The sequence below is a fragment of the Homo sapiens genome, chromosome 10, assembly GCF_000001405.40.
Source record: "Homo sapiens chromosome 10, GRCh38.p14 Primary Assembly".
Lineage (NCBI taxonomy): Eukaryota > Metazoa > Chordata > Mammalia > Primates > Hominidae > Homo > Homo sapiens.
The window spans coordinates 125984240-126002318 of NC_000010.11; the positions used below are offsets into that span (position 1 = coordinate 125984240).

Here is an 18079-nt window from a genome sequence, read left to right on the forward strand (position 1 = left end):
GCCATGCGGCAGCCTCTGCGTGAACATTGTCAGTCACTGTAGCAGGGGAGAGAGCATGGCATGCTGTTTCTTGAAGCTTCTGCCCAGAATGACATACTTCACTTCTGTGTATACTTCATTGCTCAAAGCAAGACATGCAGCCATGTCCGAGTTCAACAGGGCGGGGAGGTAGATAGAATCCTTGTGGGAGGGCACCTTGTGTCTCTGAACAACAATCCAGTCTTCCACAGGAGGCACCCAGGGTCTGGCCTGAGCAACTGTAATAACAGAGATGGGGAAGACTGTGGGTGGAGTAGATGCTCAGTTTGAAACTGTCTGACGTCCAAGCCGAGATGTCAGGGAGGGTGTTGGGGATGTCAAGGGCCAGGGAAAGGGTCTGGGTTGGAGAGACAGACTCCAGAGTCATCAGCATGAGGCTGGATTGGAATTCTGGGGGAGGGAGTTTAGAGAAGAAAGGGAAGTCTGGTAACTGAGTCTTGGGGCTTTTCAATATTTATTTAGCTTCTTATGTTTCATATTTGCTCAGCTCTTGCATCAAACATTTGCTTATTGACTGATAACAAAAACAAGGCTATGCTTTAAATTTTTGTAGACTTTCCTCTACTGTGGAAGTCACTCTAAGATTCATTTATTTTTTCAGCTGTCATGTCTAGGTAAAGTTGCGCTTCTCCATGGGTTCAATGAACTGCTCTCATGAGTCCTCCCTGCGCCTGTGTTGTAATCGCTGTAGAGTACCCTGGTGGGCAGTTGTGTCCTGGTCCCTGCTGTGGCTTTTGTCCTCTTTGGAGCCATCTCTAGTGATGCAAGAATCTTCAGCCTTTGACAAGCGTGCTTGGTAACATCTGGTTTCTAACACAGTTGCGTTATTTCCCTTTCCAGGGGTTATGGAGGTGCTGTTTGCTTCAGGGTGACCTTATGATATTTAGCAATACTGAATTTTATTGGGAGCACTTCTGGTTTTATTTTGGTCTAATGCTATGCTAAGTCTTTGACACCTTGCACTGAATTCTGGTGAGGCTTGGCTATTATATTCTCACTGAACTTCTAAAGATCTTTTCAGATGCCACACATTATTGAGGGCTCAGTTTCTATGACTCAAATATCTAAGTATTCATGGACCTATTTTCATTTAACATCAAAATCTACCTACTCATAAGACTACTTTGTGCCAGGCTGATACATTTTAGTTTTAAAAAAATTATTACTTTTTAGCCCTGGCGGTTTTTCTGAATATTTATCTTGGTTTTAGAGCTTTTACTTTTATGGTAAATGTGTTTATATCAATTTTTAACACTTATCTACTTCTCGGTTTCTTGATCGAAAAGTTTCTGTAATGCCATTGGCGTTATTTCTTCATTGTCTTTCCTACAGTTTCTTTTTTGTTGATACATACTATCTCAGTTATCTGCTGCATGACAAACCAGCCCCAGACTTAGTGGTTGACAGCAGAAACAGGCATGTGTTTGCTCATGATCTGTAATTTGGCTAGGGTGTTGATGGCTTGTTTCTGCCCCATGTGGTCTTGGCCGTTGCAGCTCTCTTGGGGCTGGAAGAACCAAATGGCTTCACCCATGTGTGATGCATCAGCTGGGATGGCCAGGACAGCAGGAGACTGGCTGGGCTTTTTCATCTCCTTTGTGGTCTGGATCTTCCACTGACTGTCTTACTAGGTGGCCTCTTTCTCTAACAGGGAAGTTGAGCTTCTCCTCCCTGCTTCCAAGGGAGGAGAAGCAGAAACTTCTGGGCATCTTAAGGCCCAGACCCAGAGCTGTACAGATTCTCTTCTACCACTTCCCATCCTGTTCAAGGGGAGAGGAACTAGACTCTAACTCTGGCAGGGGAGGAACATGTTCCTGCGGGGATGGTGGAGACTGTGGAGGTCAGCTTGACTTCCAGCTCATTTGGCTTCTTTTAGGTGAAGAGAAATGTGTTTCTGGCAAAGATGATGTCAGTTAGGAGACTGAATCCACCAGCACAGAGCAGGGAGGCAGAGACACGTACGTGGTCAGAGGTGCCTCAATGTGCTTAGTCTTTTTCTTGGCTCTGCTGGTGCTACACCCGAGAAGTCATTTAGATTTGGTGTCTGAAGTAACTTTGTGATGCAAAAACAGGATCATTGAACGTTCAGTGTTTGATTTTACCTTGAAATTTCACATTTTAACAAAGGACAGAAACATCAAGTGAAGAAAGTCTTTGTAAATGTTTTTCAGTTTTCAAAAAAAGGTTCTGTTAGATGTTAGAATTATGATGTTAGAGTTGTCTCCAGATTTCACGGAGGCACCTCTTTCCTGGACGTGCCAGACTCTTCTGCGCCCTGACTCACCGCAGTGAGAGTACCTAGACCATGACTTTCCCAGGTGTTGTGTGTTCTTTCAACCCTACTGGGAAGTCCCTTTCTCAGACTGCCTGGGAGACGTCTGCCTGTCTGTCATGGAAGTCCTTTATGCCATTTCTCACTTGACATCAGAGATACCTCAACCAGAGGACACTGTCCTGGCACCTCATTCCCTCTGCCCTGTACCTGTTTCTCAGGTACCTGTTCCTGCCCCATGCCTGTTCCTCAGTGGGGGAATTACTTGTTTGATGGATGAATTTGGCGGAAGGAACTTAGACCTTCTGGCTTCTCCTTTGGGGATACTCCTCCCTCTAGGACAAGTGTTGGGTCTGTTCTTTAGCCACACACTTTGTGCCATGCCTCATCCTTTAGGAGAAAGAATCCAGTGGGGGCTGGGAGTGAGTGGGCAAGGCTGTTTGATGATTAGGTGAGGTGTTAGCTCACCCACCTGATCCAGATCTGAAGTCAGGTTTTCAAGTGTTTATTAGTGATGCTAACTCCAGCACTGTCATTTCACCCTTGCTCAGTTGTCCCTTCTTCACTGTCCTTGACTGCCCCTTTTCTTGGACCCCATCAGTAGGAAGTTGGGGTCAACTCAGTGTTGACAGGTTCATTTTGGCCCTGAGCTGGTTCAGGACTACATCCCAGCCTGTCCCAGCACCTTGCAAATAATGGGCACTAGATACACTTGTTGAGTTGTATGGAATGGAATTGATGTATAAATATTTAGTTGCACATAAACATCCTGGAAAAATTAGTTGTGAATCACAAAGAATGATTCTGGTATCTTTGGAGGATCTATTGAGAATAAAAGTAAAAACTAGAGACAGGAAAAAACAAAAGGAGGAAACAATGGTAACCTTGGCATCTAAGGAGCTATGGAGAATGGTCCAAGGGAGGAGAACAAGAACTGGATTAAGTGTTGAAGCAGGAAAGAAGAAAGAGCTGGAAATGACACACACACACACACACACCCTCTCAAAAACCAAGGCTTTGAGTAGAAGAAAAGAAAAATTTAGAGATAAGATTTGAAAAGGGATACATGGAGTTTAGTCGGATAAGAAGAAAGAATGTTGGCAGAAAAGAGAAATGGGTAACATGGAGGTTTTGGGTAATACTGGGAAATATATACAGCTCTGTCAACTTTTGGAGACCTGATATTGTAGAATGCATGCCAAGTCAAAGCCAGGCTCCTGGGACCTGCCTCACAAGCAGAAGGTGGGGTCTTATCTTAGCACTTGCGCTAGGTCCCAGCATCTTCTGAGCAGGCAGGCATTTCTTGGTGCTGATTTTGCAGACTGCAAATGATGAGACTCAGTACTACTTCCCTCTGGAGGTGTGTGGATTTCCATCGTGAGTCTCTCATCAGATTTCTATCCCAGAAGTGCTCAGCATCCATTTCCCACAAACATTCCTAAGATGAACTTGACCATGGGGCATGATGTTAGCATTGTCTTCTATGTGCTGCCTGAGCTCCCAGCTCTACTGGAAGTTGCTTATGGACTACGAGCAATCTTGCATGTGACTTCTTCAGGTCCTTTCCCTGCAGTGGTATTTTGCCTGCAATAGTTATACAGCCATGTATTAGCCTTGCAGCCCCCATCACTAGATGGCCCCCACTTGAAAATTACAAATATATGATTTGACTGCCTGTCTTATCTTTCAAATATAAAACTTTGTTACTTGAGGGCAAATGTCGTGGTTAACGTGATTATTTCTCCAAAGTACAAAACAGTATGCTGGCTATGTGTCAGGCCCTGGACTAGGCCCTATGGGACAGAGTGCACCTGCTGGATAGGGATGGGGCGCCATGTGGGACTTGTCCTTCATTCTCTCGGAGTTCAGCAAAGCAGGATCCATCGGCTGTGTCCTGGAAATAGAAGGAAAATCACTTCCACCTGCTCTTCTGCTGTCTTATCAGAGAGTGCAGATTAAGCTACCTGGTGTTATCAGCATGTTTGTCTCCTCCTGTCTAGGGGATATGCAACGAAGCATGTTGTTGAAGGTCTGGAACCAAGGACGCTGTACAGATTTCGCCTGAAGGTCACCAGCCCCTCTGGGGAGTGTGAGTACAGCCCACTCGTCTCAGTGTCTACAACCAGTGAGTATTCAGACCGTCCACACTCACCTCTCTCTAGATCAATGGAGATGACAAGCAATTTAGAAAAAATATTCTGCCTCTCGTTTGGCCTTACCAGAAGCAGAAATGATACAATTTTTAAACACTGCAATAATATTTGCTAGTTGGGCCTTGCCATAACTTGTAATGTCAGGGAAGTCTAATTATGCTTTCACAAACTGGGAGAGCTATTTTTGTGCCAGAACTGTCCTGTTAGTAGCCATTCAGCACAAAAGGGTGGAGTCACCTTTCTTAGGAAATGGGCCACAGGGGTGTGGGCTGGGTAAGCCTAAGCGTCCCCACACAGCCAAGCAGGCTGCCTGCCTGAGCGTCCTTGGGCAAGCAGCTCCATTCAGTGTCATATCCATTTTAGACAACCCCAGGGTGTGCGTCTTAACTCGCCACACAAACCCGATTCCTGGGGTCACGGTGAGTGAGGGTGAACGAACAGTGCTGCTGCATCCACGGAGAATCCTGTGAGGGAGAGCCCCACATGGAGACCTCTGAGCCCTTCAGCCGGCTGAGTTTTAAGGTTGTTTCTGAGATTGGTATTTTAAAGCATTTTAAAGATGCTATCTATGTCCAGGGCCATCTCTGAGCAAGAGCCTTGTAAAAATTAGGATGGTCACAAGTGTTCTCCACGGCCCACCCACTGAAAACACAGGCAAGTAATTTTTCAGTTGCACAAAGGAAACCTTCCTTTTGTGAGTAAAGCTCTTTTTCCGTTTTATTCCAGGTAGCATTTGGCTTGGAGGTATGTGCTTTCCATGGCTTTCAACTGTGTCCTTTAGGCATTTCTTCATTACAAGTTTTGTGTAGACTAAAGTTAACTCAGCTTTTGAGTTAACTCAGCTTTTGAGCTGTGGTACCTTCAGTTGCAGACCTGGCATGAGGGGACAGGATCTGAGTTTAGCAAACTGGGAGTTTATCTGTGAAAAACACAATTTCAGAGGAGACTTGTGATATGAAATGGTCAACTCTGGGGATGCAGGTAAAAAAAGAGGGCTCGTTCCTTCATCCGACAGTGTTGAGAACATTTGCTGTAACATGGAAGGTACTTACCTCTGGGGTTCTTAAGAGAAAGCAAAGACAGCAGAACATGAGCTCTGTGTGCTGAAGGAAGGCAGAGGGCATTGCAGGAGAAGGGGCAGGAGGAAGAGGTGGCAAAGGGAGTCAGGCATATGAACAGAGACTCCGGGCAACCCCAGCCAGGATGCCGTCCCAGGCTACCTTTCTGCTCCCTCCCATCCTCTTGCTGTCCCCACCGCCCACAGGCCTCCTGCCACTGCACACTCCCCTACCTCTGCCCTTCTTCCCTGGAGCACTCACTTCATTGCTGTGCTCACTGAGCCTGCTCCATGGGCAAGCATGGCAGGGGCGATTCCTCGTGTGGCTTTCCCCTCCTCTGTCACATGCCTTCCCTCCTCCCCAGGTACAGAGCAGTATTCCCCCACCTCTATGAACACTTCTTGCATCTTAAGTATTTGTCTACCTTTTGGTCTCTCACCTACATTGCGGGCTCCGAAAGGATGGACGATGGGTTGGCCATCTGTAGCTTGTGGGAGTTCCTTAATAAATAAGTCAGTGTGTGTGCCTGTGGCCTGAGCAGGAGTATCGCTTCAGCCAGGAGTTCAAGGCTACAGTGAGCTATGGTGGCACCACTGCACTCTCCAGCCTGGGCAACAGAGCAGGACCCTTTCTTTAAAAAAAGAAGATCCTTGATGGATGGATGGGTAATGAATTAAAGACCAGTGGCAGAATTAAGAGTATGAAAAGAAACACTGATTTTCTCAGGTTGCATTTATGTTTGTTGGAAGATGTATTAGTTTTCCACTGGCCAGTGAGAGTCCACCCGAACCTTCCAGGTGAGGGTGAATATGGTTGGTTCTGCAGCCTTCCATTGTGGGCTTCAGGTGGCCTCTAGCATCCTCTTAATAGCACACCAAAGCCAGGGCAGGGGCTTCTGGCCGTCCTAGCCTGAGTTTACATGGGGTTGGAGTACCATTTGGAGCAATTTTAGGAAGGGCTGTTTATTAGTGTGTTCTCACACTGCTAATAAAGACATACCTGAGGCTGGGTAATTTATTATAAAGGAAAGAAGTTTAATGGACTCACAGTTCCACATGGCTGGGGAGGCCTCACAACCATGGTGGAAGGCAAAGAAGGAGTAAAGGCATGTCTTCCACGGCGGCAGGCAAGAGAGAGCATGTGCAGGGGAATTTCCCTTTATAAAACCATCAGATCTTATGAGACTTATTCACTATCATGAGAACAGCATGGGAAAGCCCCACCCCCATGATTCAGTTACCTCCCACCAGGTCACTCCCATGACACATGTGAATTATGGGAGCTACAATTCAAGATGAGATTTGGGTGGGGACACAGCCAAACTATATCAGGCTGTGCCTGTGGGCCAGATGTGCCTTCTCCCCACTGAGCTGGCTCCAGAGGCAGCCATGGAGAGTTGGTGCAGCGCATTTGTCCTTACAGCGCCATGGCTTCCATGAGTAATTAGATGAGGCCTCCTGCAGGGATGAGTGTGTGGTGGTGACCAGGGGTGTGTGTGTGTGTGTGTGTGTGTGTGTTGGGGGAGTGATCCTGGCCATTTCACTGCCAGATAATAGATAGCATCACTGCCTGCAGCCAGGAAGCCTTCTCAACCTCAGGGGGGCTGTACTGGGTGGTGAGGATCAGGTGTCCTCCTCCTCCTAGCTGGGGCAGGCTCTTGGCTCTGTGGGCTGGCTGCAGCTCCCTTATGCTATTGTGTTATATATTTATAATATCCAAAGCAGATTCTCCTAAGGAGGCAGATCATGCTAAACAAAGAACTAAGAAGGTGCACATGATACAAAATGCTTCTGTGTGGTGGTAATTTGCATTCAGTTTGAGAGTGTTTTAATGAGTCACAGAGGCATGCACTTTGTTTGAATAAAGAATGAACAGCCTTTTTTTTCCCCCCAGGTAAAGTACACAGATTCTTGCTTAAATGAGGCTTACAATTTTAATCAGTTGGGCCCTTATAAAGAAAGAAAAACAGCTGCTACTTGTTAATTGGCAAATATCTTCTCCAATGAGCTCGTGATTTATTCACTGCTTTTAATAAAGACTTAAAATTCCACCAAGAAAGGTGTTAGCACCATATTATAATATCTGCAGGTACATCTGCAACTAAATGACCCTCTTAGAGAACATGAGCGATGGCTTCCTCAAGACCACTCTGCCCTGCTCTGCCCTTCTCCTCGGTGCCCCTGCTCACCTGGCCCTGACTGGTGAGTCCATCTGGCTCACGTGAGCATGGGCTAACATCCTCACCATGGGCAGAATCAGTTTGATAATTGTAATTGCAACACTCAGGGTAAAACACTAGAAAAACCCGCAGAGCAATGGCCGGCCTTTTAAAAATATTCAGTTGCACTTATTGATGGCATTCCCTTGGGCCAGGCCCACAAAGTCTTGAAGGATTCAGGGGTGGGAGGAATGAAACATTCTGTTCACCCTGGAATTTCCTCTCTGTTCCTCAGGACTCCTGCCTATAGTGGGAGTAGAAAGAATTGCTGTGCACTGCAAACAAGGGCCTTTTCATTTCTTTTCTGTTTCTTTGTCAAATTCAGGTAAATGGAGACGTTTTCGTACCTCTGTTGCTTCACACAGGTTTCAGTGTAATCCTCAGTCCCTCCTTTCCCTCTTGGTAGTAGCGTGAGGACGATTAAGGAGTTAACACTGAGAAAGAGCTCTCACACCCTGGAACGATGGTTACTGCTCAGCAAGCAAGGACTGAGGAACAATTATGTCATTCCCCTCTCTTCAGTGAGGTGTCCCTTTGTTCTCAGAGTAAGCTGTGAAGTGCTCTTTACCTCCCGTGGAAGCTGGAATTGGCATTACATTTATTATATCCTAATACTAAAAGCCCTGGTCTTTGCTACAAACGGTCCTTAAGCTTATAAACATGCAGTGAACTTGTTTCATTTCCCAACCTTTGCATGCTGCAGAGCTTCCTGGTTAGGATGCGCTAGGAAGTGTCCCCACCGAGAGAGCCTTTCTGTTCAGGTAAGATGGAGGCTGTGGAGTAGAGGGGTCGGTGTAGAGAGGTGGTTGGGGCTGTGCCCTTAGAACTTTCCTTAACATCTCAAGCAGTTAGCACGTTTTGGAAGATTTTTAGGCATCCCCTTTCTTTTTTAACACTTTGCGGGAGGATCACATTTACTTATGATGTTCATCTGTATTCAAAATTTGGTAAGAATGGAAGCATATAGTGAACTGGTCGATACTGCAGTGTTTACTAAGTACTAAAGGGAAGGAGTGGGCCTCATGGAAGACTTGGCCTTGGCTCTGATGCTGCCCTCTCCTAACTGGGCGACCTTGGACAACTTAGCTTTTCTGACTCCCAGTCTTGTGGTTTGGAGGAGAATTTTAAAAGCACTGGGTAAAAAGCCTACGTACAGCTTAATTCATAGGATTTGATTTAGGATACTACACATTGTACAACTTAGTAGAAATAGAATGAGCTTTATATGTTGTTATAGGTGATTTATCCAAATGACTTGTTTTTATGTTTGAGTGGCAGGTGAAGTTTCAGATTAGGAAAAAGTGGGGCCTGTTAATGGGATAACAGAGACTTTTATAAACATACCACTTTTCTTCTCCTGGTTAGCAACAGAAGGGGAAACAGTCTATGGGTTTAGTTCATCCATCTAAAGTATAGATGAGACGCATCATGATTTTAAGTCCTTATTAATCTAGCCCAGGGTTCTCAACTTTGGTACTACTGATATTTGGGGACTGGATGGTTCCTTGTGGTGTCCTGTGCACTTATGGATTCTTAGCAGGTTCCTTGGCCTCTATCCTCTAGATGCCAGTGCTCCATCCCCTTCGTTGTGGCAATCAAAAATGTCACCAGACATTGCCAAATGTCCTCTGGGGTATAAAACCCTGCCTCCTTTCTAAGCCCTTCTAGTGAAACCACTGAGCATGGCATGAACTCCCTTGGAAGGCCAGGGACAGCTGTGAGCCTTGGCCTTTGACAGGTTATCGTGCGACTTTTATTTGACACTTTTGATCTAAAAAATGTGTAGAATGATGAAAAGGAAGTATAATGTAGCTAAAAAAAGTCTGTAAGAGATTGGCTAGCTCTAGCAGACAAAATTGTTATTTCAAAATAATTTAAACTTGGCATAAATTTATTTTTATGAAAGAAAGGAAAAGGTATCGGCTAAAGATCCTTCTGGTAGAAATCCTTTTATTCTCCTGTCTCACTGTTTTCCCAGTTTGTACATTGCCCAATTCACTTGGCACCACTGAAACCCTCCGAGGAAACCCAGAGAAAAAGTGTCTCCTATGCCCAGGAACTGGCATCCCAGAGAGATTTTCTACCATAAGGAGCAGGAAGAGGGAGGCCAGCTGATCTTTCTGGGCCGGACCATAAGAGGGAGGGTGGGTGAGCCCCAGGAGGTGGCGTAGGGTGCAGTGGGGGAGGATGGGGTAAGAGGGAGGGTGGGTGAGCCCCAGGAGGCAGTGTAGGGTGCAGTGGGGGAGGATGGGGTAGGAGTGGATATTTTCTTTCAGGGTTTAGAATAACAGGCTGAAAGCAGGCACTACAGTGTAAGTGAGCATGGGAACTAATGGTTAGCTCTTTTCATGCTAACCCCCTAGAGCCTAGCACAGGACTTGGCATGTACATTACTTAGGTTTGTTGAATGAATAAATGAGACCTTTGAGGTTTTTTTAGACCAGGGATTATAAACTCAAACTCTTGCCGTTTGCGGATGAGGGGCTGGGCGTACAGTTGGAGTATGTAAGAAGTGGTGGGGCTGTATCCACTGACGATGGTAGCTGCTGTACTGTCACCCCCAACAACAGGTTGTGTGCTGGGTACTTACGATGTGTCAGGTGCTATTCGAAGTGCTTCATTGGTGTTATTTCATTTAAGCTTAATTGTGATACTTTTTAAAATCAGAAGGTGTAGAATAAAGAACAAATGAAACTAGAAACGCCTAGAAAGATGGGTGGCTTCTACATAGCCCTTTATTCTCCCTCTGCTTGTGCTGCCCGCCTGCCTGTTGGCTTCGCTGTGGAGCTGATGTCCCCTGTACAAAGGATGCCCTCCTCCCCGGCTGTGGCCCATTGTTCTTTTAGGCTTCTGGACTCCTCCTGGGTCTTCGCTGGTTGGCAAGCTCTCTCCCCTAATTGGCTTTTCTCCTGGTGCTCCCCACCTTCCTGTGGGTCGAAGCCCTTCTGCCCCCAGAAGCTCAGAGAAGACAAGGCCAATATGTAAGTCACATTCCTGGGAAGAACTGAAAATTTTAATTTCAAATGTTAAAGCACTTTGTCTTTTTTTTTTTTCCAAGTAGTTTAACATCTCTTTGGCAAATAAAACTAGCATATTGTGACAATTGCTGAGGTTTTCCTTGCTTGTAGGAGACATTTATTAAGTCTTATGAAATCTGAAAGGATTATTTCCAAATATCAAAGTAACATTCACAAAGCAATACTGTATAACTTGGAAATGTCCCAAGCTTTAGGTCAGTCAAAATGTTCTCTTAATATGTGAAAACAAGGTCATTTTCGGTAAAAGAAGCAGGTGAGTAGGAAATGTAAGATATACTTAACAGGAATAGCCAAGCGCCTTCCTGAAGATGATCCCCTGAAGGCCACAGGAGGACGATGGCGGGAAGCAGTCTCCTTTTCTGATGTTCTGGATGACTGCCTTCCATCTCATTTCTCCAGGAGAGCCCATAAGTAGTGAGCACTTGCACCGGGCTGTCAGTGTGAATGATGAAGATTTGCTGGTCCGAATACTTCAAGGAGGGTGAGAGAACTCTGTCAGTTGTTTTTTTTCCCCCATGCCTATAAAGTGCATAGAAATACATGCAGTAGTTTCATTTTGTTTTCCTAAAAATTCCCATGGCTTTGAAACTGCCTCCAAAATGGATCTCAGGTGACTGGTGTGAGTTAATAAACCACAGTTAATAAAGATGCTCATGAAGCCCCATGTAAATGTTATATTTTGTGATTGTGTAATAGAAATTGTAAAAGGAATTACAAGGCTGGGTGTCATATTTTCTTCCCAGAAATAATTTCTGTCTCTTGCTTATAAGCCGCAGCATTTAGGCAAATTTCACCCCCAAATGCCCACATCTAATTTCTGATGAAACAAGGGACTCGCCAAATCAACTGCTTTCTAATTTAGAAGGTTGATGTAACACTAGAGGGGAAATGGTGAATATAGCTGCTGCAGATGAGATGTTTGAAGTTACCTTCTACATGAAAAGTAGATGTTATCTAGGTTCTTTTTGAATCAATAGTTTTGAGTGCCCTAGAAGACAAGTCATTTGTGAATTCGGCTCTGTAATTTGGAGCTCTTAAGAGAAGGTTCCCACAAAAAGCCAAAGCTGCTACGCTGGAGTATGTGCGTGAAGACCTCCGAAAGGGCTGCTCTCTACCCAGTAGGTGAGATGGGAGGCAAGGATAAAGCTTGAGTCTCCACCAATACAGACTCATGTTCGGTAGAGCTGAGAGTCAGCAGTGAAGACACTGTCCTCAGCTATCTTAAAGAGCTGTGTTCACTGGAGAGTGCTTTATCCGATGGCCTCATGGCTTTGAGCCGAAGCATGTATATTTTAAGTGAAATTACATCAATTTTCTCTTTTATGATACATTTGAATCTCATAGAATATTAGGTATATAGTTTAGAAGATTCTTAGCAGTCTAAGACAAGAAAAGATTTAATGGCCACAAAGAAATTGGAATTTTCAGTAAAATGAGTCATTTTACCCACCTAAGCCCTGTGAGAACCACCGGCTTTGACTCTGCAGTAGCTGTACTGAGCATGTTTATCTCTTTTCTCTGCTTTTCCCAAGCCGTGTTAAGGTTGATGTTCCCAATAAGTTTGGCTTTACCGCTCTGATGGTTGCTGCCCAGAAAGGATACACCAGGTATGGCTCTTCTTTTTTTTAAATCTCTCTTGGGGATTTAACTTTTTATTTTATTCAAAGGCTCTGGTCAGGATAAGGATGGGAGGAAAAAGGGCCATGGAGGAACCGTTTCTTTTCTATCTCCCAAACCGTACCATATGATGGCTTAGAAATTCAACTATTGTAATCATAAAGTTACACAACATGCAGGAGAGAATGTAAATCATGTGTTGAGGAAGAGAGGTAGCCATTTAATTACATGCAATATATTTTTTATGTTCTTGGAAAACTGGTTATTGGAATTCAATTTTTTTTTTTTAAGATGTAGAGAGAGGGATATTCTGGAAAACTTTCTGCTAGGTTGCTAAGTTATAATTTTCACAGATACACTCTCATTATCTGTTCCACACAGAGATAAGTATTAATATGAATACCTCATTTTCATTTATATTTTAATTAAATGCCATTTGAAAAAAACAGAAATGCATCTTCATTACATGCTACCATTTAAGAATACATTAAAAATGGCCATTCAAAGGACAGCGAATTATTTTGGTAGCCCGATTTGTTTCATGTGCTTTCATTTGATTTTAATGAATAACTCGTGTCAAAGGTAAAAGCCCACATTTCTGGAATAAAGAGGTGGTTTTCTGGTTTAATGGTGCCTGGTTTTAAAACCAGCTGGCTTCTGAAGGTGCAGAAGAAACTGTTGAAAGATACATCTTGGATGCTGTGTTACTCATTTTTACTGGACTATTGTGGGTTCTGAGTGATCAAGGTGACTTATCTAGCTACACTTAAGTTTGTTTCCTTTAGGCTTGTGAAAATCCTAGTTTCTAATGGCACAGACGTGAATCTGAAGAATGGAAGTGGCAAGGACAGGTAGGAGGTGGGATATGACTGAAATTGTGCTGATGTTCTCAGAATTGTGTTGCTAGGCTTGTGCCCAGAGGGGTTGTGATTTCACCAAAACATTGTCTTGAGTTTGACAGTCCTGAGAGGTGAGTGGGTCGCTGAGGAAAGATGGTGATCACAAAAGCTGGCTTGCTCACATGGTCTTGTGCTTTTGCTCACCAGGGTGCTTAGGGGGGCATCTGTTGTAACGTATGGTGACTTCTCTGGCATGGTCCCTGTGCCCAGTGGACACGCAGTGCACGGGAAATGGCAGCTACAGAGCAGCTCTCGCCATCCGCGCTGGGCGTGGGTGCAAGCGCCTGCCCCTGGCACCCCGTGCCTCTCTCAGGCCCCCGCTGCATTTCAGCCTCATTCATTGCTAAGAAATCTTCGTTGTTTCTAAAGAAGCAGACAGAAATTACCACAAGAGAGACACCAAGAGCACTTTCCTGAGGTGAGAGGCACATGTCCCCTTGGAGGGCTGAGAACGCTATAGGAAAAGCTCAGGGGAAGAACGTGACACACATAAAGGACAGATGAGAGTGTTCCTGAAAGACCTAAAAACACTTGCTCATCTAGTCATTCATCAATAAATTCCAACTAACCCATGTTTATTGATGGATTACTACTTGCCAGGTGCTGTGCTTTGGCACATGGGTGAAACACTGAGCAAAATGCCAGGCCCTGGCTTCAGGGGCTGTGGTCACAACACACACAGAACCAGGGCTTGGGCACTGTAGATGACATCGACAGACAGCTGCCAAACACCTTCTGGGGGAGGCCTTGAAGAAAACCCCAACTAACTTCTCAAATCAGAAGGCCTATCTTCTACATTTACATTCTCTGAACACAATACAGCAATAGATTTTAAATAACAATATCTTAAATATCACTTATAAATTTAAAAAGTATTTTTCCAAATAACTCATAGGTTGAGACTAAGCCATCAACTCCAAGTTTGAAAAGAAAAATAGCAATCTGAAAAGGGAAAAGAAAAAAAGTATGAGGAGAGTAGGAAAAATGAAAGAATTAAAAGTAGACATTGATTAAAAAATAGAAAGGTTATTGAGAAATGAGAGTTGCCTCTTAAACAAAAAGCTATCTAATAAGATACACCAATCTTTTGTAAATCTAAGAAGAAAAAAATTAGAAGTTTGAAAGAGAAGAATAACTGGTTATAGAGAAAATGTAAACATGAAAAGAAGTTTGTGTCTATAATAGTAGATAATTTCATTGAAATGGATACTTTTTTTCTGAGAAAATTTAAACCGCCAAGTCAACCCAAGAAGCAGAAAATTCGAAATAACCAATATCCATGCAAGAAACTAGAAAATTCATTTAAAAATTACCTCCAATGTAGGCTCTGTGGCTTGACTATTCGACCAGTGAACCTGTTCAGATTTTCTAGGCACTGATAATAAACTTGGGCTTTTCCAGAGCAGAGAGGAAGCTGGAAAGCTCCAGAGGACAACCTTATTGCTAAAATTTGATAGAGGAAAAAAAAGCTATTTGTATGTTTGTTTGTGTGTAGGTATTTATAAATCTCTTCCATCCCTCCTATGAGGGCCATACCAGAGGGTAAGGTATTAGGAAATTTTTTAACGTAACATTTTCCATCAGTCGATTAAAGGTGAAAACCTTTATTTGTGTAGATGCAAAACAAAAATTGGGTGTAACTTGGCATGTATGTTAAAAAGTATCTTTTTTTTTTTTTTTTTTTGAGACGGAATCTCACTCTGTCCTCCAGATTGGAGTGCAGTGGCGCGATCTCAGCCCACTGCAAGCTCTGCCTCCCGGGTTCACGCCATTCTCCTGCCTCAGCCTCCCAAGTAGCTGGAACTATAGGCGCCCACCACCACACCCGGCTAACTTCTTGTATTTTTAGTAGAGATGGGGTTTCACCGTGTTAGCCAGGATGGTCTTGATAGAAGTATCTTATTTTTTAAAGTGAAGGTTACTTTCAGCCTTTGAACAGTGTATGGCACATGGGAGGCAGGAAGTGTCTGTTGAATGAAGGATTCCTTTGATTGCAGCATACCAAGGTTTCTTTTATTTTTTAAATCATCTCAATCAGCCAGTGTCATTCTTAGTATTGGCAAATTCCTTTCCAAAATTAGTAGTGAAGCCCAGGAGAGTGGTGGAGAGCTTGATGTGAAATCTGCATCCCTCTGAGGATGTGGCGTGACCTTGGGCAGGCTACCTAACCTCTCCGTATCTCAGTTTCATGTCTGTAAAATTCGAATAACAGAAGTACTTATAGCTTGTAGGCATTTAATGAGTTAATATGAAAAATGCGTTAAAACAGTTCCTGGCATATGGTAAATACAGATATATTTTGTTATTTCATGATTAGACAGTATTTTGAAGGCTGATCTACTTAAGAAGATGTGAACTGAGATAAGAGGTATGATTTATTTCCTGTAGAACCCAACAGAATCAACTTGAAAAACTTAGACTTAATAAGGAGGCTCAGTAAAGTGGACAGCTACAAGGCAAAGAAAAGACTTTCTTAAATCCCTGCAATTACTGGTTAATAAATATAATGGGGAAATAGAATGAAAACAAGAAAGGTAGGAAATCTGAATTAAAAAAAACCCTAAAAACCTTACTGAGAGATATAAAAATTTAAGAAATAAAGACATGTCATATGCCAGAATGGCAAGATTGACTATTATACAATTTTTAGTTCTTCTCAAATACTGCATTGAGGTTCAATGGACCCTCAACTGGAATTATTCTTGGGAACCTGTCAAAATGATTGTAATTTATCTAGAAGAACAAATAGATAATATCTACTAAAACTTTGTCAAGGAAGAATGTGGAAGGACTTGCCTTGACAGTTATTAAAATGCCTCATAACGTTATAGTAATTAATGTAGTATGATACTGGAACAAATAATCAGAAAAAAAGTAGAATGGAATAGAAATCCTCAAATAGATCCCTATCTACGTAAGAACCTGGTATATGATGATAGAAGTAACATAAACCATTGAGGAAGGTATTGGAAAAATAGGATGTTTGAAGGAAAAAGTCAAGTTAGATCCTGGTCTTATAGCGTGTACCAAAATAAATTCCAGATGAATTAAGAATTAAATGTAAAAAACAAAACCATAAAAAATGACCAGAAAACACAGAGGCATAATTATTTTATCTTGTAATGTGAAAGGAACAAATGCATTGAAAGGAATCATTAAGAAAAAGATTGAGTGTATTATATATTTTTAAAAACTTAATTACAATGTTAAGGACATTCCAGGGAAATATTTACAAATGTATTAGAGACAAATTACCAGCATCTTTAATGTACAGAACACACACATGCCCATACATATACTCCAAAAAAGCCTCCACACACAGTAGAAAAAAGCAGTTTACACAAGAAGACAATTTATAGCAGAATCAATATAAGCAATTCATATAAAGATGTTTAGCATTACTAGTAATAACAATTTTTCTATCAAATTGGTGACTAAAAAATAATCATGTTGGTAAAGATGCAGTGAAATAACCTGTACTTTCAAATATAGTTGATAGAAATGTGAATTGGTATCATCTTTCTGGAAAGCAATTTGGAAATGTGCATCCATATTAAGCCACATCCATGGACACAGTGATCCCATTTTAGGAAATAATCAGAAATGCAAATACGATTAGTAAGGGTGTTTGTTGTTGCCTTATTTAAGATTGTGGAAAATGTGAAACAACTGAAATGTCTGACAATAATGGACTGATTGAAGTTATGATACATTCATATGATAGAATATTTAGTATGTGTTATGATATATTCATATGATGGAATATTTAGTATGCCAATGCTGTTTTCAGTGCTTAAGTAAACAGGGAAGTATATGAAATAATAAGAAACTGAAATAATACTTTTAAAAGGCAGGGAGAAGAGAAAATCATACAGAACAAGAGAGAAAAGACGGGATTTTGTGTAGAGCTAGGAATGTGACCCTGAGCAGGGGACTCAGCAGCAGGCAAGCGGAGCGGGTCCTCCATTTCTGGTGGGCTTGTACTAGGGCACAGTGGGATGCCCTGCAGGGCTGTGCTCAGGAGTGTGCTATGTCCTGGCCACTCTCCCCTTCTCCCACCTTGTGAACCAGAGAGGGGAATTCTTATAGAGCAGCAGATAACAGACCCCATGGGTGCCAGGCAGTTTGAGTTCAGATGGCAGTTGGGCTGGTGGCTGACTCCAGCTGCTTGGCCCTTGGAGGACCTTGGTGGCTTTCTGCCAGTGGGAGGTGGTAAGTTCAGGGCTGTGCCTATCCCTGGGAAGGAAGAGCGCCTGGTCTCAATGAGCTCATTGCTGGGCAATCCAGAGCCTCCGGGGCTGGAGTCTCTGGATTGTTAAAATAATCCAGGATTATTAAACAATCCTCCTCACCACCTAGAGCAAATTCAACAGAATCTTAAGAGTTTGTTCTCTGTGAGGTGAGGCTATGGGTGACTCTGATATGGGATTTTTTTTCTAGGTACCATGCCTTACTTTATAATCAGAAAAGAGGCATTATTTAAAAATCATGCAGATAGGCTGGGCGTGGTGGCTCACGCCTGTAATCCCAGCACTTTGGGAGGCTGAGGCAGGCGGATCACGAGGTCAGGAGTTTGAGACCAGCCTGGCCAGGCTGGTGAAACCCTGTCTCTACTAAAAATACAAAAAATTAGCCGAGCATGGTGTTGTACGCCTGTAATCCCAGCTACTTGAGGGGCTGAATCAGGAGAATCACTAGAACCCAGGAGGCGGAGGTTGCAGTGAGCCAAGATTGTGCCAGTGCAATCCAGCCTGGGCGATAGAGTGAGACTCTGTCTCAAAAAAA

At 43.2% G+C, this 18079-nt stretch overlaps 1 protein-coding gene across 3 annotated transcripts in view; it reads left to right on the top strand.

The window, feature by feature from the left end:
- FANK1 (fibronectin type III and ankyrin repeat domains 1) overlaps window positions 1-18079 on the top strand; it is a 113029-nt gene that overhangs the window by 87676 nt on the left and 7274 nt on the right. For 2 of the 3 annotated variants that reach the window (NM_145235.5, NM_001363549.2), the window contains exons 3-6: window positions 4312-4436; window positions 11178-11259; window positions 12311-12385; window positions 13181-13246. In NM_145235.5, the coding sequence (NP_660278.3) occupies window positions 4312-4436; window positions 11178-11259; window positions 12311-12385; window positions 13181-13246 (348 nt within the window). Of the gene's footprint in view, window positions 1-4311; window positions 4437-5040; window positions 5119-11177; window positions 11260-12310; window positions 12386-13180; window positions 13247-18079 lie in introns of all 3 variants that reach the window. The other variant, NM_001350939.2, reaches the window with a different exon arrangement.